This window comes from Homo sapiens, chromosome 5, assembly GCF_000001405.40.
Source record: "Homo sapiens chromosome 5, GRCh38.p14 Primary Assembly".
In the NCBI taxonomy this organism is placed as follows: domain Eukaryota; kingdom Metazoa; phylum Chordata; class Mammalia; order Primates; family Hominidae; genus Homo; species Homo sapiens.
Genome location: NC_000005.10, coordinates 72,114,860 through 72,140,363, shown reverse-complemented (window position 1 = coordinate 72,140,363; position 25,504 = coordinate 72,114,860). Strand labels below are relative to the sequence as shown.

The window sequence follows — 25,504 nt, the reverse complement described above, 5'->3', positions numbered from 1 at the left end:
AAGGATAGGCATTGTTTTGTTAAACTTTTGTTTCAATTTTAGATGTATGCATGGATCAGCCTGTATTTTCTATACCATGGTTAAGGTAAAAGAAGTTTGTAGGACAGGTCCTGTGGCTCTTGCCTATAATCCCAGCACTTTGGGAGGCTGAGGAGGGCAGATTGCTTGAGCCCAGGAGTTCAAGACCAGCCTGGGCAACATGGGAAAACCTCGTCTCTACAAAAAATACAAAAATTAGCTGGGCATGGTGGCATGCACCTGTAGTCCTAGCTACTTGGGAGGCTGAGGCAGGAGGACTGTTTGAGCCTCTGGAGGCGGAGGTTGCAGTGAGCTGAGACCGCGCCACTGCACTCCAGCCTGGGTGACAGAACAAGACCCTGTCTCAAAAAAAAAAAAAGTTTGTAATACATCCTTATACAATATATGTCTGAATATGTTTGTCTTTAAGGTTAAAAACTAAAGTCCTCTGAACTGGGCTTTTCTTATGTATCAGGTGTACAGGATAAAGATCTGCTGCCTCTAAAGTCTCAATTTTAAAACCATCTCTACCACAGATGGGATGAAATTTAGTCTGATGGTAATTTCAAACTTAGATTTTTATGTAAGAAAAAAATACATTGTTAAACTATATACGAGGTTTCCTCATATTCAGGGACAGATCTCTGCTTTCATTTTATAACCTCCACAAGAGAATCAAACTGCCTTTCTTACCCTCAACTGTGGTCCTTTCCAATAACTTATGTCACGGCAACTTATTATTAAAAAACGACTGAACCAAGATGACTTCGGACACCTCTGATCCAAGGGTTGGCCCAAAAGGAGCCTCAATCTGCTTCAGCATTGGCCAGACACCCCGGAGACTTACATCTTACCTTGCAGGGCTAGAAAGTGCATCAGAATGCCAAACTCCAAAAATGAATAACGATCCAGCCCTGGAAGAAAACTCTCAGTTCAGAGAGTTGGTGACTTGCCCAAGGTTAAGTACAAAATATATTTGCAGAGCAGCCAGAACGAGAACCCAGGCTTCCAAGTTGCAGCAGCCCCAGTACACTGCACTGTGATAAAGGTTTGATATGGAGGCACAGACCGACCCTAGAGGTTACCAGAACTGGAGATCATAGATTAGTAAGTTTTTTTCTCTTATGACTGTTGTATGTATCTACTCTAACCTTAACTCAGACTGACATCCGTGGCTTTTCGTGCCATGTCATTATTCTACCACATACTATTTTGAGGTTTCTGAGGTTAGTATTCATAAGAGCTTTCCAACCTCTGACTCAAATGAGCTCTATTTTCCCCAGACACGTAACTTACTATTGAATCTCATTTCCATGAGGAATACAAAAGCGATAGTGATTCATGTCTCCAATGCTTGGCTTACCATTTTTGAAAATGTGTATACTTTTTCCTGACTGTAAAATACTATGTGCCCACTGCATAAAATGTAAAAAACACAGAAAAAGATAAGGAAGAAAATTAAAATAACCTGTTCACCTACTGCTCAGTGATAACCCATATTACAATTTGGGTGTCATTGAAATTGGGTGTCAAGGAAAAGACAAAAATTATTTTGGTATCAAATTGTGATCAAATTGAAAAATACCTTCATGAACCCTTCCCTTGTCACTCAACATTACACATCAGTAAAGATTCTTCGAAGATATGGTTTATAATAATGCAGGCCAAATACTGAATTCTATTGATTAATCATTACTGATTATACATGCCCTATTGTTGAGAACTTCAGGTTTTTTTCCAGTTTTTCACATAGAGAAATAACGTAGCAATAAGCATTTTTTTACATAACATTTTTTGTGCATATCTCTGCTTATTTCCATAGAATAAATTCCTGGTAGGGAATTACTGGGTGAAGTACGTGAGCATTTCTATGACTCTTCATATATATTGAAAAATTTCATTTCAGAAGGTTGTTTATATCCAAATAGCAGAATATGAAGGTGCCTATCTTGTCCTCTTTGCCAGTGATCAGTGGTATCATTTGTTAAAACCTTGCAACTTGGAGGTAAAAATGTGTATCTTCCTGGGTTCATTTGTATTCCTTAATTTATAAAGAGGTTGAACATTTTTCATACGTTTATTGGCCATTTGGTATGTGTATATGTGTGTCTTTCTCCACCCACCTTCTGTGTGTATGTAAATTGAATGTTCATATCCTACACCTATTTTTCTACTGAAATGTTAAAGTTTTACTTATTTATTTGTAAGAACTCTTTATATCATAAGGATATTAAACTTTCAACTTTTATATTTGGGGCAAGTACTTTAGGAATCTCTTTTAATTATGTAACAATTTAAAGTGATAGGGTGGGTTAGGTTTTATATTGTCACCAGCAGAGCAACAAGTCATGCCACCTGCTGGTAAAGAAACAGAATAGTTGATAATTCTTCATGTTTCCAAGATACGATGCATATTAATACTTTTTCCATGTCAACTATTTTAAAACTTTGGAAATGAAAAATGAGTAATTGATTGAGGCTATTTATGACATTTCTTACACATGAATCCTATGACCAAGATCCTTTGATCACATTTAAATATTTTTAAGGTTACTTCTCTACTTAAACGGGGAGAAAAGGCTTTGATACATATTAGATGTTAATAAGAGAAAGTATAGTTCTGAATCATCTCAAAGCCATTTCTGTTGTCAATTCTGGGCATAGGAGCCTGTACTTTGTTTTAAGGAATCATAATTATTGACAAAATTTAACAATCAGATAAACAGGGAGGAGTAACTTTATTATTTATTTTCACAAAAGGTATTTTCAAACAGACATCTTCAAACCAGAGCTTCAGACCTATACAGATCATTTAAAATCAATATTTGCTTGATTTGGCCAGGTAAATTAAGGGAAGCTCCTGCCATTTAATTCTGAATGAAGATGGATCTCAGCAGTTAAAGATCATAAGCTTTTTATGTAATTCAACTAGAAAATATGATTTAATTTGTGGCTTACATAAAACAATAGTCATGGAACATATTTATTGCCTATCATCCCTTGTAGACTAGTCTAAGAAAATAATACACTCAAGGTTCTACAGAAATTTAGGCTGTCAAGATGATTGACTATAGCAATAGGGCCAATAGGTCATTGAATTCACTCATATATGTGGAGGTCAACACCAGTCTACAGGATCTATCAGCAAATGGTCTGACATGCCTAGGAAGATAAAAATGGAATTGCTGCTTTGTCATAAGCCATCCTTATGAATAAACTGAACTGACTTTTTTGTACTGTGAATTATTACTCAGCCTACAGTTCTGACATAAACAAAAATGCAAATCATGCTAATAACCTAGCCAATTTCATGTGCCATAAACAAGCCTTCAGTAGCAGTGAAGGGCACTTGGCCCATAGGGTGGAAGAAGATGCAGAAATCAGAATCTCCCTGCAACTCAAAATGACCAAATGTAAAATACTCAAAACCAAGTTCACACATTTTTAATAACAAAATAAATCTTGGTATGGGCTTGGCAAAAAATAATAATAATTCACATATTATTTAAGCACCCATATTAGCACCCTCTGGACAATATTTTCCTTGTAGTTTGGCTTGGGGTCAGTAGTCAAAATGTATATGTTTATAGTTTATAATCAGAAGAGGATACAAAACAACTCAAGGACACACCCTAATTGGAGGGAAAGGGAGTGGCTGGCCAACAATTGAGTCAAGGTACAAAACATTAGGCTAGGTGTGACTTGGGGCAGGATCTGACAGAGGGTAGTAGTAAAATGATTATGAAAAACAACTGAGAATGTCCCCCTTTTCCTTCCATCTAGATTATGAGGTCTTGGGGAGAAGGAGGTAGGTTTTAAATTATCCCAGAGAACTGAACCCAGAGATGAGGACAAGTCTTGGATGACAGGGCCATACTGACAGCTTGGAGAGGACACAATTGAGGCCCTGGGAAGATGACCCGACTACTCCTTGAGCCACCCAGGAAAAGAGTATCTGGCCATCTCCAGACAGCAATTTCAGCTTCCATAGTCAATTGCTGATTTCCTGTTTGTAATGTCCTTCCTTTGAATTATATTTACATTCAGGTAGCTTGTGGTAAGAGAGCTGTCCTGTATGTCAGATAGTTCAAGGAGTGCTGGGGGTGGGAATAGAGGAAATGAGGGCAATATTCCATAGGTTCAGGAGAAACTCAGGGGATAGCACATGCCCATGGGTATGTTTAGTACAGTAACTAGCACTTTACTTAGTACCTAGGTGCTCAGCACACTTAAGTACTCAGCACAAGGCAGTGCCTTCTCCTTTATTCCACACAAGGGCATCAGGACAGGTGATTCAGATGGTCTAGTTCTTTCTAGAACACTCCAAAGTTTCCTTCCAACCAGCTCACCAAATGCACTGGCCTTGAAGAACTGTAAATGGAGACTCCTGGTCAAATCCTGTTGGGCTACACCTCAAAACCCAGTGTTATTCCAAATTCTTTCTAAAATATCAGTCCTACAGGAGCAATAATCATCTAGGTAATTGGACATGAAAAGTCCAATGAGGAAAAAGAAATAGCTCACCAGCTGCCTTTCAAGGCAAAACAAGAATGCAAATGGAAAGGTCCCAGGGAAATCTGGATGGAAAATTATCACCTCACAAGAGGGTCTGATCTGGATTGGATTCATCCTTTTTCACAGGATGACTCTGTTCCAGGGAAACTAGATGCTAGGAACATTCTGGGATCCAAATATGGAGAACTGAGAACTATTGTAAGGGTTTCTAAAAACTCCCAAGAAAAATTCACAAGGACTCTTTTTCTTCCAGTGCTTTGGGAAAATTCAAAAAACCTGAAATTCCAAAGCCAGTCTAATCCAGGTGACCCTCAATCTCATAGCTACTGGGTCTACTCCACAAGGAGGAAATCAAGACTGGTAAGAGTTGGCTACCTGACCTGTACTTGCAAAACACTGACACAAATGAGAGAGAGAGAGAAAAAAAGAAAACCACCACCTTTACTCACTCAAGTAATAAGGTCACCTCAGAACACTGGCCCATGTTTTGAAAGGAAATAATTTTTAGAGGTGAAAAACAATGGTTGATAGGTACCAGGCATAACCCTTTGAGATGCAAGTACTATTGCCAATTAATGCCATTGGACAGATGAGAAAGTTAAGGCTCGGAGCAATCCCATAAGCTGCCTACAGTTACATAGCCCAGTAAAAGCCAGAGCTGGTATTTGAACCTAGATTTTCTGACTCAGGGTTATTGTTAGATTGCTTGAAAGGAGGCCACAACTCCCTACCCCAAGTCTGACAATGATTTTCTTCCTATTGCGGGAGGGGCTGGAAATGACTGATAAAAATTATACTCTTCCACCAACTCAGCTCTGGGCTCAAAGCATCTGAAACATCAGGATTCCACCTCGCTCCTGATTAATTTTTTCATATGGGAAGGGAACTAAGAGCCTTACCCTGAGACATAAGGAATGAGACTTTAAGACATACTAGATCAATGCCATCACGAAAAAGCAAAATATTTCAGAGGTCTGATGGGACCAGCCGCCTGCCTTCCTTTTCTACTCAGCAGTGGCCAAGTCTCTGCCTTCCTTTTTCAGGAACATTTTCTGCAGCAGGGCCCAGGCCATTGTGAGCTTTGAGAAGAATGATATTCTGCTTTTGTAAGAAAAGGAGGAGATTTCCCAGGCATGCTTTGTGTCCCAGACGCTTTCACTAATTGATAGAGTGCCACTACAGAGTATATTTTTATTCATGCAGTCAGCACATGCCTGCTTCTACGTTTTCAAGTTTTCTTTAAAAAAAAAAAATTCTCCTATGTGGTAAGACAACAGCTTCCGTTAACAAAATGAAGCAAAACCAAATTCTTCTTAATGAAAATGAAAATGTCAATAGGACTTCTCTCCTCATGCTAATCCCCTGTTTGACATGCAATGACATCATCCCCTAGAAGCTGGAGACAAATGTAATGTCTGCTATAATTACAAGGCTTACCCTGCAGAAGAAGGGAGGTGGCCGTGAGGTGCAGGCAAGCCCTTCTCACTGGGCCCTCCTTGGAAATACAATGGAACCCACTAATGCAGTGAGGGAGTCTTGCTGCGACAATACTAAAAGGAGCAGAAATCAAAGGACTTCACTGACCATGGATTCAGGCTTGATGTTCTGATACAAAGTTTATATCCCCAAGTAGCAATTTAAATAAAATTGCATTTTTCTTTTTCAATCAAATCAAACTGTGGTGTCACAAAAGACAACATGTACACACACAAAACTCTCACTCACAAACATGTGAAAACTAAAGTTAAAAAAGAAAGCCCTCATTCATAAGGTGTTCACATAGTGACAATAAGAATGCATGTGACACTTTTGGCGGAAGCTGGAGGTTGCAGGAAGGGATTTTCCACAATATCCATAAAGAAGAAAGGGAGTTTTGAAATGTGACAGATTCTGATTAAAGAAAAATGGAAATGTTTGGCTCTTGGGAACTTCAAGTATAGAGAACTGATAATGCTACAAAGAAACCATAATCCTGAACCAATTATGGCTGAATAATACTGTAGACTTTATAATGGTACAGTTGGTTTGAACACTGAGTCAAGATGAATCAGCTTTTCCTGCTTTACCAACATTTCTTATTCATTTCCTTGAATGGCAAGTTAAAAGCATTAATCATTATTAAGACTGTCTTTGTATTTTGTAAAAGCATTGTTATTTAAACATCTCTTAAAAATGTATTTCTACACTTTACATGCCTTATAGCTACTGAATTTTCATAAATCCTCTGTAAAGTAGGTTCATAGATAAGGAAACTGAGGCACAGAGACCTTGTGCATGAGGTGAAGCCCATATTTGAACTTGGCCACTGTAGCTCCTGGGCCCCCACGCTTTACCATTCTGCTGGACTCAAAGAAGGTTGGAAAGTTTTTGACACACTCTTCAAATACCTGCCCCTAATCCTAGGATGCAAGACAGGAAAAAGAAGCTTACTGCAGGGTATCAGATACCTCCTTTTCCACTGCTCTCCATCCCGCCTCCAGCGCCTCACCTCAGATCCCAACAGAGCTGGGGGTAGAGGAGAGAGCTGTTCTGCGTTACAGCCTGAGCTGGACAGTTGTCTCAGGAAAAACACCTGTAAGTACAGGCAGAGGCAGGAGGATCCTGGAGAGGAGTGCATGCTGGTCATGGTCTGTAATATTTGTACAAAGAAGAAATGCAAGTTCTATCTAATTCTCTAGGATTACAGGCAGAAACTTGGACAGTAAAGACAGACTATTTCTTCCCAGGCTAGCATCCCACGCCAGATGCATGGCTGCTCAGGGACCATGGACCCAGGGTGGAGGTTATACACCTGAACCTGACTTCCAGGTTCTAGATGAGCGGGTAAAATTGCCAGCTCCCAAGTGGGCAGCCTTGCTAAGGAGTCCCTACAACCCTCTGCTGGCAAATGCTGAACCTGGACAGGGAGTTTCAGGGATTCCTGAACCTCCTTCTTATACAGGAAGGAGGAAACAAACAGAGCTCTAAATGGGACCTTTGAAAAGACTCTGCAGCACAAGGAAAAATGAGCACTGTCTTGAGATTTGGTGGAAAAAATATATCTCTAAAAATGACTTTCCATAGGAACAAAATAAAATTTTAGAAAATGACACTTGGCTCCTATAAAAGATGCAGACGTTGCCACTATGAAACGACAGAGAACAATAAAAACAGGGTGGGCTGAATGACAGGCAGAGATTTAGAAAGAAGTCCCCAGTGGAATGAACAAAAGAATTCAAGGAAATACAAAATGCAATAGCAGAATTTAAATCTGCATTTAAGGCACTCAAGAGCAGAACAAATCCTGCAGAATATTGACCCAGTGATGTACAGGACAAATGTGAAATGTTCTCCTAGAATACACAGAAGAAGATCGAAGAGGAAATGATGAGTTGGAGGATGAGATCTAAGAAGTTCCATTTTAAGAATTATACATATTCTTAAGGCTGAAATCAGAACAGGAAGAGAAACAATGATAAGAGCACATGGGAAAGAACTTTGCTAGCGGAAAAAAGTCTCCAGGCTGAAAGGGTTCAGAGCATTTCAGAAAAAAATTAATGAAAAATACTTGTATCTCAACATTTCCTTACACCGTATTTTAATTTCAGATAGATTCAGATCAGCTGAGATTTGTGCACACGCTACTGAGAAAATTACTTCGCAACTGAATTATGAACACCTTCAAGTAAAATACTACATAGAACAAGAAAATCTGTTCTTCATTAGATTTAATGGTGAAGGCAGGCTTTATTTTTTCCAACAAGGGCCATTGGTTCTAAATAATATACAGGTTATTTGCTTCAGTAATATCCTCCAAGTAATAGAAGTATCTTTATATGCAAAAGTTGAAATTTTAGATACTTCATCACATAGGACCAAGAGATATCAATCAACATGGTAGAAAAGAAGTGGACATTTCAACCAAAAAGTAAATGGTGTATGAAAGATAATCAGACGTGATGCAAGAAGGCTGCGTACTGTTGGCCTGAAGAAAGCAAACACTCTGAGAGATGACTGGCCTAACAATGACCAGGTGAGGAACTCATAAGCAAGTACAGAGAAGACACTGGGAGGAAGGTATTGAATGAACCTCTAAGTACCATGGACATAAACTATGATTCTATAGGCACTCTGGAGCCCTAATTATGTTACAACACAAACCTTTCCATTCTGATCTCAGAAATGTTGGTTGCTTTCCTTTCTCTATTTATCATTAGAATTTTTGCAGCCCAGAAAACTTGTCATCAATCCCATGTTTTTAAGAGGCCAATAAATATTCAGATAGTTTTCTTTTACTTTATTCTTAACTCAGAGCAGAGTAGTGGAATCCTTATAAGAATATCTTATGAAAATATTTTAGAATCACTTCTATTGGATTGTTCCTATTTCCTCAGAAATGTGCTATTATAACCTCACATTGATCCATATGAAGTCCAGGATAAATCTGCGTACTCTATACCTATAAAACTAGGCTGAATTGCTAATGCTGTATTAAAAAGGAAACATAAGGGAAAATAATAATAATAAAATTAATTTTTAAAAAGGGAAAAATACAGTGTCCAATGTCTTAAATGTAAAATAAAAAGCACTCTTCATAAATCTCAGCTCTAAAGTTTACTTACCCCTTACCACATCAGTTTCTCCTTTTACATATTTAGATAGCACCATATTATTTTCCCTCCTACTTAGCACAGCTTGTAATACAAATTTGTGTGACTATTTCATCAATGTCTGTCTCCTCACCTTGACTGAGAGCTCCATGGGAGACCGTATAGGGACTGTGTCTTCATTTGCTTATTTTTATTAACCTTAGTACTGACACATTACCAGATCCCATTAGACAAACAATATATTTGTGAAATGAGTATATTCAGCCAAGCAAGTAATTGTGTCCTAAGAATCTCAAAAAACTTTCTGGAAAAACCACACATCTTGGTTTATACATCAGCTATGTTTGCCAACTTTATATGTAAACTATTTTTTGAAAAAACATTATTTGAATGACTTTTTTCACTTGTATGAGAGAATATTAACATAAATAGGACCTTAGAGATAATAAAACTGAAGTTCATAAATGCTAGGCAACTTGTCCACAATGGCACAAATCTACTTAGCAGTAGAACTGGGATTAAAGCTCAGATTTTCTGCCCCCGGTTCCATTCCTTAAGTGCTCTGTCCATGGAGTTCAAGACACTGGCTCTTTACCAGAGCTTCTAGACTGCCAAGTCTCTGAAAAGTAATTGATAGTTTTTGTAAATAAACACTTTACCACATCTTAATGTTTAAAGGAAATCTGCAACAAAGAAATTGTTTGCAATATAGATAATTAATAAAAGATGTGAGATTTCTTATGCAGTTTATTTTTCAAACCTAAGCGCTAACTTTAGTTTCTCAAGCCTATGACACCTCATCATTCATTGTCATACACATACTAAGCCCACATGCCTGGCACTATTCTAAGGCTCTTTATCAAGGGCCATTAATTAGCCTAAGGCCTCCCTATTTCGATGGTTAAAAGATAATTGCATTCCTTTTTTCTTATGATTCAGTTGACATTGGGAAAAAGCCATTTCTGAAAAGTTAGAATTCGGAAAGATTAAACAATGTATCCCTATGATTATTTAATTTAAGCCCTTTCGTCTTTTTGTTTGTTCATTTTTTTTTTTTCCACTTTTCTTCTTTTTAAACTGTAAGTTGGGATTTTTAAAATTTCTTTTTAATTAATTTATTTTATTTTATTTTATTTGTAACTAGCTTCAAATTTGTGATGAATTTGCTCACCAAGCATAGAAAATCCATTTGCTGGCTAAAGGACTCTAGCAATAGAATTTCTATCTGATGACAGAATCATATTTCTAGATGACCCCTGGAGAGAGTTAATTTGCCAAACTATTTCATTTATATTTATACGCTGGAATGTTATTCCAAAGGCTCCAAATAGTCTCTGTTCTATGTGTAAAACAATAAAATAAAGATAAGACATTGTCTAATAATTTGTATAACTAATACATAATGTAATGCTTCTTTAAAAAGCAGGCACTGATCTCATGTTAGATGTTTTAAAATAAACCCAAACCAGCATTATTTGTAGACCACAAGCCTGTGACTGGTGGCAGGGAGGACACAATAAGAAAAAGAAGAAGGAGAGAAGAAAAACAAGTGGGAAATAGGTGACTGCAGCGGAGAGGGGAAAACGCGTGAGGGATACCAAAGAGAAAACAACGGAAGGAAAGGAGGTAAACCCATAGGAAGTGTCAGTTTTTTCATCAACAGATATTTACTTTTTTTTTTTTTTAGGACGGAGTCTCACTCTGTCAGCTAGGCTAGAGTGCAGTGGCACAATCTCGGCTCACTGCAACCTCTGCCTCCCAGGTTCAAGAGATTTTCCTGCCTCAGCCTCCCGAGTAGCTGGGACTACAGGTGCCTGCCACCACGCCTGGCTAATTTTTTCTATTTTTAGTAGAGACAGGGTTTCGCCATGTTGGCCAGGCTGGTCTTGAACTCCTGATCTCAAGTGATCTGCCCACCTTGGCCTCCCAAAGTGCTGGGATTACAGGCGTGAGCCACCACACCCGGCCCTATTTACTTGGATCTTCTAATGCTTCTTGAAAAGCGAAATACATTTTGATACAATATAAAAACAAAGCCATACACATACACACACACATACAATTACATATGTACATGTAAATGGCTACACAATTAGCTAGACAACCTTGTCTCTTCCTAGGATCTAAAGATATTCCAGATAAATCTTAAAGCACAAGTGATTAAGCCTTTAAAAAAAATCTCACTTCTCATCTCTCTTACCTTTTGGTTGGATTCTTGTGTTTATTAGCTTATTTGGAGGGAGATGGTGCAACAGAGAAGGCAATTGTCTATTTAAAAAATTACGTTTTCAGCCAAATGCAGTGGCTCACACTGTAATCCCAGCACTTTGGGAGGCCAAGGCAGGAGGACTGCTTGAGGCCAGGAGATTGAGACCAGCCTGGGCAACTTAGCAAGGCCCTGTCTCTACAAAAATTTAAAAATGAAAATATAAAATTAGTTGTTTGCCTTGGCATGTGCCTACAGCCCTAGCTACTTAGGAAGCTGAGGTGGGAAGATTACTGGAGCCCAGAAATTCAAGGCTGCAGTGAACCATGACGGTGCCACTGCACTCCAGCCTGGGCGCAGAGTGAGACCCTTTCTCAAAAAATAAAATAAAATAAAAATTATGTTTTCATAGGCAAGGGGATACAGGAAGTAGAAAGAAAAAAATGGTTGGGACTTAGAGGCGGGTGCACCCCACTGTATGCACATCAGGACAGTGCAAATGCAGTGAGCTAGTGCATACTTGCAAACTCAGGTATTTTCTTCGAATAACCTAGAAGATAGCCATGGTCTCTTTTTTCACACTTTCTTTTTTCTCTGTAGCAGTTTTGAGTGTTTTTTTTTTTTTTTAAAACAATATCTGCAATCAATGACTCTTTTTCAGAAGGACTATAACATCCAGGGATATTCCTTGTTCTATATTGAAGCACAATCATATTAGTATTGAGGACACCACCTCAAAATAAATAGTTTGCTCACTAATGATTCAGTGATAAGAAATCGCTACTAATCCGCACACCCTCATGTTTACAGTATAATTACCAATAGGTTCATCATGAGGACCCTGAGGCACAGAGAGATGATCTTCCTCCTGAGTCTTCCAAGGAAGATTCAATTCTACTGTTCTGAGTTTGGGTTCCAAGTAGGTAGCACGGTGTGCACTCATCTTGCCTGAATGCATGTCTCTTGAACTATATTTCAATAAAATGCCAGTATCTACCTAAGGGGAACAATATGTCCTTTTTTAAAAAAAGACTGTCTTTGAAGATATTATTCTATTTGGGTGGGAGAAGAAACAACAGATTTGTAAGTTCATGTCTTCTATAAATAATTTAAGTATATCTTGGGCTAATGTATAAATTTGGTTTAGGAAATTCTAAGTTAATTCTAGATAAATTTTAGGTGTTTGTGTAAAAGAAATGACTGTATTATTGGATTCTACAACTTTGAAAAATAATAATCCCACGAGGGATTATTGGCAACTCTCAATTAGCTAGAATATTTGATTAACCAAAACGTATTATCCATGGATATATTATCATTAATGTTGTTATTGTACATAAATTATTTCTTTCTGTTATTTTAGAATACTTGGTAAGCTTTGTTGTAAACACATAATATCACACCTAGGTTTTTTTTTAACTTTTTTAAAATTATACTTTAAGTTCTGGGATACATGTGCAAAATGTGGAGGTTTGTTACATAGGTATACACGTGCCATGGTGGTTTGCTGTACCCATCAGACGCCTAGGTTTTAATGAGTGAATTAACACTTTTTTGCAAATATGATCAAATTAGGGATGGAACAAATTGAAGTTTTTACCTTAAAGGTATTAAAAATCAACAGCCATTCAAAGATATATTACCACAAAAATCACTTTTCCTTCTGGATAATCATGACTTTCTGATAATGATTACCTGCATGTAAATTGTACACTGTCAGTAATAATCTGATTCGAAAATTGCTTCCTTCCCAAGGGTGTTCATATCTGCATGTACTAACTTGCTAAATTATGGTGTGCTAATTGGTAGTTCACATGACAAGATATGCACAGTTGACCATGCTTATTAAAATTCAGGCCATCCGCAGTTAGCGATAACAAACAATGTGCCTGGGACTTTTAACACCTTCAACCTGCAGATAATCCCTAGAACTCTTGAGGTTCAATCTTCAGCCTCCTTCCAAAGATCAGTGAATAAGCAGCTAACCTGAAGCTCAATGCAACACCAGATACCAACATGGAAATTCTCATTTTAATGGGAAACATATGTAGCTATTTCCTATTTGGCACTGTGAAGATAAAACACCCATGAGCTGACTTTGGGGATAGTCTCTATGCAAGTGTTTGACATTGTGCAAACATGATTAAATTTTGTCTTGTTTGGTTTGTCTGCAAGGTAAAGACAGGTGGGAAAAGCCAGGGCCAAGAATTCCCAAACTGGGAAATCAGCCTGAGTGTCATAAAGCTGTGCATCTTTCCTAAAATTAAGAATACTCATGGATGGGACAGGCAGTTTTTTCTAAATGAAATTCTTTCATTGATATTTTAAAGCCTGGATTAAAAGCCATTGTAAGCTGAATGAAGTAAGACAAGCTCCCATCTACATACGAGTGATGAGACAATTTAGTAAAAATTCATAGAATAATGGAATAAAAAAACTGGAAGGGACTCAGCAATCATTTAATCCATCCTTTCCCAGATTGTGTTTTACAGGAATCTAGATCCATGGGAGAGAGTGGTGATAGAAGTGACTAGTCAAATAGGCTAAGGAAATGTATGGTTAGACAAAATTGAACAAGTTTATACACATACAATTTATGCCTCCTCAAAAAATTAGATGGAGTATGTCACAGTTTTCAAACTTAAGTCACCATGAAATTCTTTTCCACTGACTATTAATGTTTTGCAGAACTAATGGCTGGCAGAACAAAGTTAAGATGACCTGATCTAGCCTAATCCCTTTATTTTACAGAAAAGGAAAGGACTGACAGCAGCTCTTCAGGGAGCACCATGGGCAACAATGCTCTCAGGTGTGGCCCAGAGCTGCTGCACTAGGTCAGGCTTCCTGGTCTCTCCGGAGGGGGAAGGGTCCTGGAAAGCAGCTTGCAATTGGTGTCCCCTCCCTGCTTCCCTCAACACAGGGACAGCTGAATCAGACACTCTCCAAAGTACCCATTCTAGCCTCAGGGCAGTGAAACAATTACTTCACATTTATTTCCTTAAAACATTTCACTTTCACAATCTCTTCCCTAGTGTCTTCAGAGTCTGCCAATGGACAATTTTCCAGCACTCAAAGATAAAGACAATCTTGAAATTAAGCTTATACATCCAGGTCAGGAGTTTTGTTCTCACATGATTTCAGAAGGGTGAATTCTTAAATTATCGATTCTAACTCTTCATCATTGAATTAATGGGCTTAATCTAAAATGTAGCTCCAAACTAGGAAATATTTTAATTCAGGCTGGATTCAAAATTCCCTGGTCACAAAGATGATTCAGTGCATTAGGATCTGTTGCATTTATGCCCCAATTTGCATGGATAATATTATTTTAATGCTTTTTTTATGCACACAGATTTTTTTAAAATAGCCTGAACAAATAGAATTTACAGAAGGACCTCCTTGCAAAATTCTCATTTGGCACTTATTATAGACTGGCTTGTTTCATTAGTTATCTTATTTCCATACTCAATTGTAAACAACTGAAGACAGGATTTACTTACAAGTCTTCTTATGGCCTGCAGAGCTAGGAACTGAACTGTGCCTTGCTGCAGGAACATAAATATTTAATGACAGATTGGCTGATAATAGGACACTAACAGGACACCTTCAAAAGGAGATACCATATAAAATGAAAGGATTGTCTCCTTTATAATAGATGAGAACAGATAAGGTTTTCTCTCTCTCTCTTTCTCTCATGTATGCAAACACACACACACAAACACATATGCACATTATACTAAACTAACTACAAGGCACTTGAGCATCTTGTGGGGCTGCTGGAACTTCACACCAAATACCACTTTCAATTGAATTGCACCACCAAAAACTCCTAGTATTTGAGCTGGGAAACTATCTGGAATTCTAGATAAAAAAGCGGTTGCTACATCATCCCTAAACAGGCATCGAGCTCCATTAAAAAGAGGAAGAATTCTCTTAGGCAGTTTTCACATCTTTCACACATCAAAACTTCCAAGTGAGAGGTTTTTAAAAGGCACAAGAGACAACTGCTCAAAATGGCTCTGCACTAAGGAAGCATTGTTCGCCTGGGTTCCAGAACTTATTTGATCTTTAATTTTATTGCAATAAGGATAACTTCTCCAAATGTGACATTCCCATTGATGGATACACTTCAGGATCCAAAAAGCCACATCTATGTAGAGCAGTGTTCCTGGGGCCAGGTGCACTAAAAACGTGTTGCTCCCTCAGGGGAATAGCTGTTCCTTCCTCGCACTATCCACGTGAGAAGCCAACAAGAAATCTGAATTTGAGCCACAATGCTCAACAGTGGCGTGTTTACTCACAGCTCCCATTGAAAACCTGTTTTATTGAGAAAGAAATGGCCAGATTAATGGCAAAGTGCGTGTTTAGAGGACTTCCCTCTATGACAACAAAGACAGTCCTCAGGATGTTCATATTTCGTCTTAACCCCTCAGGAATGCAAGGCAGCAATTTTGAGAGGCAACCTCAGCTTGAGTGTTTCAAATGAGGTGCGGTACAACTGCAGAGAGGAGCCACATTCAATAAAACACTACCCTAGCTTTTCAATTTTCATTCCTAATTACTTACTTTTATTTTTAAATCACATGTAGACGCTCTTGTTGCATTTTCTATAAGCATCAATTTCACCAGTCCTGACTATAGGCAATCCTTTAACCTAGAAGAGTTTATTAAAATAACATTATTATTGTCTTGTATTTATGTTAATTTCTCCAGTCCCTGTGGTGCACTAAGTGCGCTTCCCCAGAGTACCTCTTACTTTCTCACGTTTCTCTCAGACCAAGGAAATCTGACTTCACATGCAATAGAAATTACCCTTAGATCACAGCCGAGAAAACAAAAGGGGTAAGCCCTGGAGTATGATGTCTGGGGATACTTGATCGTTGCCTAGGTAGCATTTAATTAGTCCTGGGTTGCAGCTGGGAGTGGGGTGCTGGTACCTGGGTAACCTTTGTCATTGTGACTAAACCCATGGTTGAACAATCAAAATGCAATGCTTATTATACTCTCCATTTTCACCCCTTTCTTCTTTAGGAATTAGACACACACACTCTCTCTTTCTCTCTCTCTGACACATATACACAGTTCGCAAATTAAGAGAACTCTCACGCTGGGCAGGGTGACTCACACCTGTAATCTCAACACTTTGGGAAGTGGGGGCAGGAGGATCGCTTGAGGCCAGGAGTTCAAGACCAGACTGGGCAACAGAGTGAGACTCCTTCTCTACAAAATAATTTAAAAACTAGCTGGGCATAGGCCGGGTGCGGTGGCTCACGCCTGTAATCCCAGCACTTTGGGAGGCCGAGGCGGGCAGATCACGAGGTCAGGAGATCGAGACCATCCTGGCTAACACAGTGAAACCCTGTCTCTACTAAAAATACAAAAAATTAGCCGGGCGTCGTGGCGGGCGCCTGTAGTCCCAGCTACTCGGGAGCCTGAGGCAGGAGAATGGCGTGAACCTGGGAGGCATAGCTTGCAGTGAGCCGAGATCGCACCACTGCACTCCAGCCTGGGCGACAGAGTGAGACTCCATCTTCAAAAAAAACTAAAAAAAAAACAAAAAAAACAAATTAGCTGGGCATAGTGGCAGGCTGGTAGTCCCAGCTATTTCAGAGGCTGAGACGAGAGGGTAGCTTCATCCCAGGAGGCAGAGACTGCAGTGAGCTGTAATTGCACCACTGCACTCCAGCCTGGGTGACAGAGGGGAGAACCTGTCTCAAAAACAAAAAGAGATTAAAAAAATAAAAAGAAACTCTCTTTCTTTGTTGAGAAACACAGTGAATTTTAAAGCTGTGAATGACTTATTTTCCCAACAAAATTATAAACAGTGGGAAATACTTCATTCTTCCAAATATTCCCTTACAGTTGCTTTCTTATTAATAAGCACTCAAAAACATTACTTGGCACTTTTAAAGTGATCTATTAGTTTATGCTTTATTCTTCATCTTCCACCATTATTTCTAGTAGGCTACCATAGGTGCTGAACAAACTGCCCCAGAGGAAGACCAAAAAGCAGGCAGAAAAAGCAAAGAGACTGTGCTTGCTTGATGGTTTGCTGTTGCTGCATACTTAAAAAAAACCTTTAAAAAAAAACTCTACTAACAAAAATCATGAGCTCTCTTTGGTCTCTGGAGATGAAGACAAAAGCAGTGACACTCAGCATGAGGTGCTGTCCTTGGTTAGCAGCTGTCGTGGAACGCACTTAGTTGGGTTTAATGGAGGGGTTATTGACATCTCCTAAAATGGCTCCTGGGCCCAGGCAGCCCATTTTCTGCTACCTTCCTGCCTATGCCTGTCTATGCTGAGTGGTTCCACAGTGCCCATTAGGAACTGCGTGAGAGCCATTACAGTCAGCAGAGTAAAACATCCTTTCCACTCTTAAAAAAAAAAAAAAAAAGTGAGATGAATAGGTATTTCTAGGGTGGTCTGAAAGAGCCCATTATTAACTACCCTGAGGAATGAGGAAGCCTGAACATGGCAGTGAAATGCCATTTTATTCCTTTCTGCTGGCCACACCTGCACCAAGGGAAAAAATTCCCTTGTATGTGAGGATCTGGATATAAAGAATCCTGAAATTTGAAAGTTGACCAAGATGTAAAGCTTGCAGGAATTATGCCTTATGCTGCGTACACTATAAAATTCTAATCTTCTCCTTGGAAGGTCTGGCTCTTTCACCGCTAGAAAAGGATGCAGGTGGGGGTGACTGGGCTGTCTGCTGCTTGGGCGGCAAAGTCTCAATGGGAGCACTGGGGTGAGAGCGGACAGCATGAGGAGCTGCCGATCACTCTGTTCCCTGCAACCGGGCCAGGAGGGCTCAGGGCACGGGGCAAGTGGGAGAAAGGCTAGGGATTTGCATTAAAATGGGACTCTCCTTCCCAGGCAGGCAGCAATGACCTCAAGGAATATTAAACAGAGATCTGGTTACCTTAACGAATATAATGCTCTCTATTTGTCATTTTCTTCTAACATACCACGATTTCTCCTATAACCTTGTATGATGATGCAATGAGGAAAGATGAGCAGAGCCTCACAGGCATGGGGACAAGTACCTAGACCTGTGCGTGTACACAAACAACACAGAAAACATGAGGATAAAGAATCGGCTGTCCCTCTGAAATTGCAGGTTCCCTGAGGGTGAGTCAGCCCCTTGAATGCCGCTAGAACATATATTTGTGTGCCTTATTGTTTAAAGGTTGGAGCAGGGCTGAAAACACATTCATTACTCCCTGTCATAGAGCAGTTGATGTATTCTAGGCACATACAATTAAGCTATAATTCTACACACAACAGACTAAACACACAAGTCTAGACAGAGAAAGATGGCTTAAAATATTCTTAGACCTTTTCTAAGAGTATTTTCTCATTTTCTTATCACTCAACTGGTAAATATTAGTTGTAACCCGTGCCTCATTAATGTCAAAGGGAGAAGATTCGCATGACTGAAATTCAAAGGGCTGATTCTAATTCTCCATCGAAAACCAATCTCCAGGCAAGATGTTTTTAGCAATCACTCAGCACAAATCTAAAGATGCTCAGCTGTGGTTCGTTTATCTTCTAGGAAAAAGGCATCGGTTCTTAAAACAAAACTGCCCATATACACCATCCATCACATTTTATGATGATTTTTGTGAATGTGATCTAGATGTTATAAAACTAGTGACAAAATGTAAATATATCAAGGTCTTACTGTGTATTCAGCTAAGAAAATAAACCACAAGAAATCTGTTTCTTAAACCTGGCAACGTCTATAGTCACCTGTTGATTGGTGAGAGCAGAAGAGAAAAGCGAGTGTAGAACGGCGTGGAGGGAGTGACCATGGATGGGTTATCATAGCAAGGAGGCAGGCCAGCCCTCAAACTGTGCACACGTTCCCTGACAGCCCTTGCGTGGGCACCCACAGGACCATTTTGCAAATGGTCTCCAACCCCCTCTCAGGCTCTGCTTTACCAGCCAGCACTTTAAAGCATTGCCGGCTTTTTGCTCTCAAGCCCAAAGGACCTTAGAAGCTCAGCCATAGAATGTTGTCACCCTTTACACATAGTCAGCAGCTCTGCGCCTTCTGAGAATGCTGAAAGCAGTCGTTTCTCTGAGAAACATCTTTAATACAAATTTAAAATTACTACAAAAAGGAAACTAGCCAAATATCAATACCCGGTATTTCCCACGGATAATAACAATCACCAAATATACAAGTCAAATAGATACTCCAGAAGGGAGACAGCACTCGTTCACATTTGTTTCCATGTGACAAGCCCTGTCTTAAGAGCTTTACACACTTTAATTCATTTGATCTGCATTGAAACTATGAGGTGGGGCCGGGCGCAGTGGCTCACGCCTGTAATCCCAGTGCTTTGGGAGGCTGAAGTGGGCGGATGATGAGGTCAGGAGATCGAGACCATCCTGGCTAATGCAGTGAAACCCCGTCTCTACTAAAAATACAAAAAAAAATAGCCAGGCATGGTGGTGGGCGCCTGTAGTCCCAGCTACTCGGGAGACTGAAGCAGGAGAATGGTGTGAACCCGGGAGGCGGAGCTTGCTGTGAGCCGAGATTGCGCCACTGCACTCCAGCCTGGGCAACAGAGCAAGACTCTATCTCAAAAAAAAAAAAAAAAAGAAAGAAACTATGAGGTGGAACTGATCATCCTTGTTTACAAACAAGAAGACTGAAAACGGTTAGTTAACTTGTCCAAGATGACACAGCAAATAAACCGTGGGGTTAAGATCAAACAAGGCAGTTTGACTCCAGAATCTGTACTCTTCATCATTATGCTAGGCTGCTGATGAGGAGTCAGATGATCAAAATTTTTAAATTATTTTAATAGGCAGATAAAAGTGGCAAAATTAAGGGAAAAAATAAAAATTGAAACTGATTTTCAGTCTGACATCACTTGTCCTGAGAATAGTTTTTATTTGTTTGCTTGTTTCAAAATGATGTCTGTCTACGACAGATAATTATGGGGCACTTCTTACAACCCCTGGGAGATATCCTTCTTTACTACTATACATAGACAGTCCTAAAGTTACATTTGGGAAAGAAGCAAATGGCAACGGAAAATGAAATAAACCCTGTACAGCATGGTAAGCCTAGCTTTGCTTTTGTGGTCAGACTTAACCAAAATGATTCTCATCCAACATGATTAGGGTACAAAAAACATATGATATAATAGGTAAATAAAAATTTTATGATAGTATTTAAAATCATAACTTTAAAGAAATATAAGACTGTTGTTCTGGCCGGGCACAGTGGCTCACACCTATAATCCCAGAACTTTGAGGCCAAGGCAGACAGATTGCTTGAGCTCAGGAGTTCGAGATCAGCCTGGGCAACATGGGGAAATCCAATCTCTACAAAACATACAAAAAATTACCTAGGTGTGATGGTGCACACCTATGGTCCCAGCTACTCAGGAGGCTGAGGTGGGGGGATCATTTGAGCCCAGGAGGTTGAGGTTGCAGTGAGCCAAGATTGCACCACTGCACTCCAGCCTGGGCGATGACATAGCTAAGACTGTTTCAAAACAACAACAACAACAACAAAAGACTGTTGCTCTATTTTGAAAAGACTCAACTACTGAACTTTCCTTTGAGTAAAAGATTAGAGAGTGTTCATAAAGGAACACCTAACCTTTTCTTTCAAGATGACTGTTCTCACTTGATCCAGCTTAGATGTGGCCAGGAATGGCTTTACATCAAGGCAAATCAGCAGAGACCTGCCCTGGGCACACAGCAAAGGTTTGTTGAGTGATCTTTAGGCAAGGCAAGGCTGCAATAGTAAGGCAAAATAATAGTAAGATAAGCCCAGATGACTGACCACTCCAAGAATTACAGTATGCCAGAGTTGGACAGAGCTTAAAGATCACAGAACTAACATTCTGGGGAACTGAGGCACCCACCACCCACCTTGTGTACAGAAAGCACTCATATTTCAGATTCCTGCTCAAAGGATATTATTCAAGATGACTAAGTCTTTCAGAGTGGTCTTGAATGAGACCTACAATCCTGAAGAAATAGTCAAATCAAATCTCAAAACCATATTTAAAAACTAGTATAAGGGATAAACTAGTATAAAGGAATCAATCTTGTGCCATTTGCACAATCTGTTAGCTGCAATTTGAGGCTATCTTCAGTCTTTACAAGTGAACTCCAATTATTAAAAAACAACAAAAGCTATCATAACCAACAGGAACATAAGACAGATATATGGGTGACTTGAGCCTTAATTTACTTATGTCATAAAAGGCAATAAATATTTTACTATAACTCTGCTGGCCTTAAAACAAAACAAAACTGTGGCTGGGCATGGTGGCTCATGCCTATAATCCTAGCACTTTGGGAGGCCAAGGCAGGTGGATTGCTAGAGCCCAGGAGTTTAAGACCAGCCTGGGCAACATAGTGAGACCCCGTCTCTATGTTTTTTTAAACCCAAACCTCCCAAAAATCTGTTTGAAGCCTGGATTTGATGCAGGGGGCTAGATTTTATGTTGGTCTGTATATGATTGTTAAATGCCTTCTCCTCTCACAAGAATATAAGTGTAATAAAGGTAATGACTGTATTTGTTTTGTTCTTCACAGTGTCCTCACTCACCAAGCACCCTATAATGCCTGGTATATTGTAGGTGCTATTTTTAACAATGTTTTACCTGGCTGAAAAATGGCTCTATTTTTTTTTAGGGGATCCATCCTTCATCTTGCTCCTTGGTTCTAAGTTAATTTAAGATTCTTGAAATTAGGCAGGTGTGGTGGCATGTACCTGTAATCCCAGCTACTTGGAAGGCTGAGGTGGGAGGGTCATTTGAGCCCAGGAGTTTGAGAGCAGCCTGGGCAACATAGTGAGACCCTGTCTCAAAAAACAATGAAAGATTCTTGAAACTCTAAAGGAAAATGTTCAGCTAATTCCATTTCAGGGGAACTGAAGTACATGAGTTAGCTAGAGACCACTAGACTTGGACCCACTTAAAAACAGACTTCAAATTTTTCCATAAAACCTTTCCAGTTTGTTCAGGAAAAGCTAAAGGCTTCCCTGGGCCCAATCCAGTGATCATCCTGTGATCTCCATGTCTTCTTATCCTCTAACATCTCTTCTCTTTAAAACACACTTATCTGAAACTGAATCTGACATGTGCTTTTATCACCTTACAGTCCTGGTTGGAAACCTTCATGCTCCCCACACAGGAGCATGACTATAATGGCTCTATTCTAGATGCTTAATTCCCAGAGGGGAGCCTTGGCCTGTAAAGCGTACTCATAGGCTTGACAGGGAAAGTCGTAATATCAGTCCTTTCTAGCATTGGCAAGAATAGTAAAGATGCTGTGTGTCCAAAGGCCAATCTCCAAACACAGCCTCTAGCATAACACTATACAACTAGGTAGGTAACTAATCCTTACTGAAGGTGATAGCAGGAGAAAGGAGAGGAGAATGGGGTACATTAGGCTAAAGTGACAGTTTGGGGGAACTTGATCTTCCTACTCCACAGGAGCAATACTAGGTCTTGGGTCTAGAAATGGTTAATTCTTCAGCAATGCTTGCAGCCTTTCATTATGCAATATGCAGTTGTCACTCTATAAAGTCAGTCCAAATATGAATGAACACAATGAGAACCACATGACTTGTACACACAAAAAAAGAAGTCTTACAAACAATCATAGTAAAAAAGCCAGAACAACCTACAGAGAAAAAATAAAAGCTTGTAGTTTTTACATTTTGAAATAATCATACTTTTTGGAAAACAGCACTTCCCTCATTTTTTTTGTGAGATGGTTTTAAAAGATACGGAGATATCGCAAGACAAAAATACAATAAAATAACAACAAGAGAAACAACCTTATACTGTACCTTTCCTTCAGCAAATCATATGCTGTCTGACAGTCTCTGGATTCCTTTTTTCTCAAAGCAAAGTTACTTAAAAACTGATTTTTCATGTGGCTTTGCAGGAAGTTAACTTTTAATAAACCATTTCTTGCTAAGCTTTTCTTAGCACATTTACTCAATTCCATACTTGAAAGCTACAATGCATTTCAATAACTGAAATGTATGGGATTTTATTCTAATATTAAACTCAAAAGGAAGAACTGAGACAGTCCTATGGGCATATTACTGCAGCCAAATGTGATTCACGAAGGCACTGATATTCTATAAAAGTGATTTCAAATATCAATGTATATACACGACTAATGGAATATGACCTAACCAGTCAAAATAGGCTGAATCTCATTCCTGATGTTATATCAATGCCAATAAAATTAGGAATCATATAACAAAAGCATATGGGCAGAAAATAGCTTTCTCTTATGTAAAATTCAAGTGATGGTCAAGAAATAAGATGTAATACAGTGTTTCTGATGGGTCAATGGCAAAGGTCTGGAGAAATATATTCCAGGTTTGGAGTCTTTATGGGCCAGAAACTGTCTCATAATTCCTAAATGTGACCAAATGGGAGGAATATAGGTTATTGCTCACAAGAAGAAGACGAGATGGGTCAGTATGAATACATCTCCAGCGCCAGAGGCATGGGTCAGATCATAGCCCCAGGAAGGTGGCTGGTTAGTGGGAACATCTTCACATATGACAAATTTTTGCATCCTTACCTTTAATTATTCTTTGATATTCTTTTTCATCTCTGAAAAAAAGGCTATTTTAACAGAAGTTTGTAATATCAGATTCTTTTACCCACACGAAGAAAGATAAGTGGTAATGCAATGGCGGGTGATAATGCAATTATGAAATGATGATGTATATTTCATTTTGAAATGCAGTATATGTTTCCTTTTTCTTTTGCAGGAAGACAGTTCTGGGATCCTAGGAGCATCCAATTTGTATTCAGAATTTCATTTGAGTAAGATTAACATTTAAATAGTTTGTAGTCCCTTGAGCTCAGAGTACAGTGAGATACACATACACACACTATACTATCTCTCTCTCTTTCTCTCTCTCTCTTTCTCAAGCCCTGGATATCAATTCAAAATTTGTGTGATCATTGATGTGTGTGTGTGTATATATATACACATACACAACCCTAGAACTTAAAAACTCATTAAGAATCCACAAAATAGATAACCCACACAGTGATAACCTAGAGTGACTTCCTAAACTGTGGCTGCTGGCTAACCTAGTTGATAATAACAAATACAAAGTATCCTTTTAGCAATAAGAGAGTCTTTTTGCTGCCTCAGACAAAGCTTTCTAGCTTGCTCCTTGTCCTTTGGAATTCTAGGCTGACCAACACTGAGCGGAAGCCTCACCTGGGACTTCAGGAGAGAATCTTGCAGAGTGTCGAGATACAAAAAGTTTGAGTTCTTGGTCCAAGTTGCATTCAATCAGGTTTGTGTCCCATGATCGGATTCCTAGGGAGGGAAAGAAAGACAGTTGAGAGACTTCCAGTTAGTCATTTCAGAGTGGTTTGGACAACATCACTGTAATATTTCTCAGGCTTTCAGGGAGGATGTGGGAACTCCTTTTCTGAAGAGCTTGGTGGCTTAGCAGTGGATGCCCACAAAATGGGAGGGCCAGGGAGGTCTCTCCACCAGGCCACAAGGGAGGGATAATTAGCAGTGTGGACTGAGCTTCTGCCCCTCATAAAAAGTAAATGCACCTCTTCTGGAAGAGTCAAAGAAAACAGTTGTTAGGAAAATGACAGGCTGTACTCCAGGGAGGGACTAGAAAGGGCAGGAAGATGTTAGTTCTTAAGAAGCTAAGAGGCCAACAGACTAACTCTAGCTTGTAGACAGACTAACTCCACTTGTAGGTGGCAAGAAAATGTAGAATAAAGGCAAAGAAAATACACGGGGGCTGCCATTCAAGCACGGGCCTTTGTTTCTAAAATGATGTTCTGGTAGTATACATGTGTAATTTCTTTCCTTTACCAATCCCGTTTTTGACTTTGGTTTATCGAGCCCTGGATATCAATCCAAGATTTATGTGATCTTTGATAAACAGAGTGGATCCACTCAATCTTCAAGACTTGGCCTGTCTGTCCTTCCAGGCACTTTTCTGTTACCTGAGTAGCTTGGCAGGCAGCTCTTTTATTCACAATTGTTCATTGTATTCAATTTTCTTATCCAGAGGCAAAGAAAAATGGCAACTTTTTATACTTTATAAAACATTTATGGAGTTGGGGACATGAATCAGCTATTCCTACCCTAGGCTGAACGGAAAGGAAGTCCTATCAGACTTCCTTTCCCT

At 39.3% G+C, this 25,504-nt stretch overlaps 1 protein-coding gene across 1 annotated transcript in view, besides 1 other annotated feature; it reads right to left on the bottom strand.

The window, feature by feature from the left end:
- The window catches only part of MAP1B (microtubule associated protein 1B), a 102,091-nt gene that overhangs the window by 69,202 nt on the left and 7,385 nt on the right, over positions 1-25,504 (bottom strand). The window contains exon 2 of the mRNA NM_005909.5: positions 24,565-24,666. Within this exon, the coding sequence (NP_005900.2) occupies positions 24,565-24,666 (102 nt within the window). The remainder of the gene's footprint in view (positions 1-24,564; positions 24,667-25,504) is intronic.
- Positions 17,583-18,086: an enhancer, noted in NCBI's record as "H3K27ac-H3K4me1 hESC enhancer chr5:71418105-71418608 (GRCh37/hg19 assembly coordinates)". NCBI's record gives its function as "activates a minimal SCP1, AML or CMV promoter by ChIP-STARR-seq in naive H9 embryonic stem cells {active_cell/tissue: H9 hESC(naive)}" and the evidence as "EXISTENCE:reporter gene assay evidence [ECO:0000049][PMID:30033119]".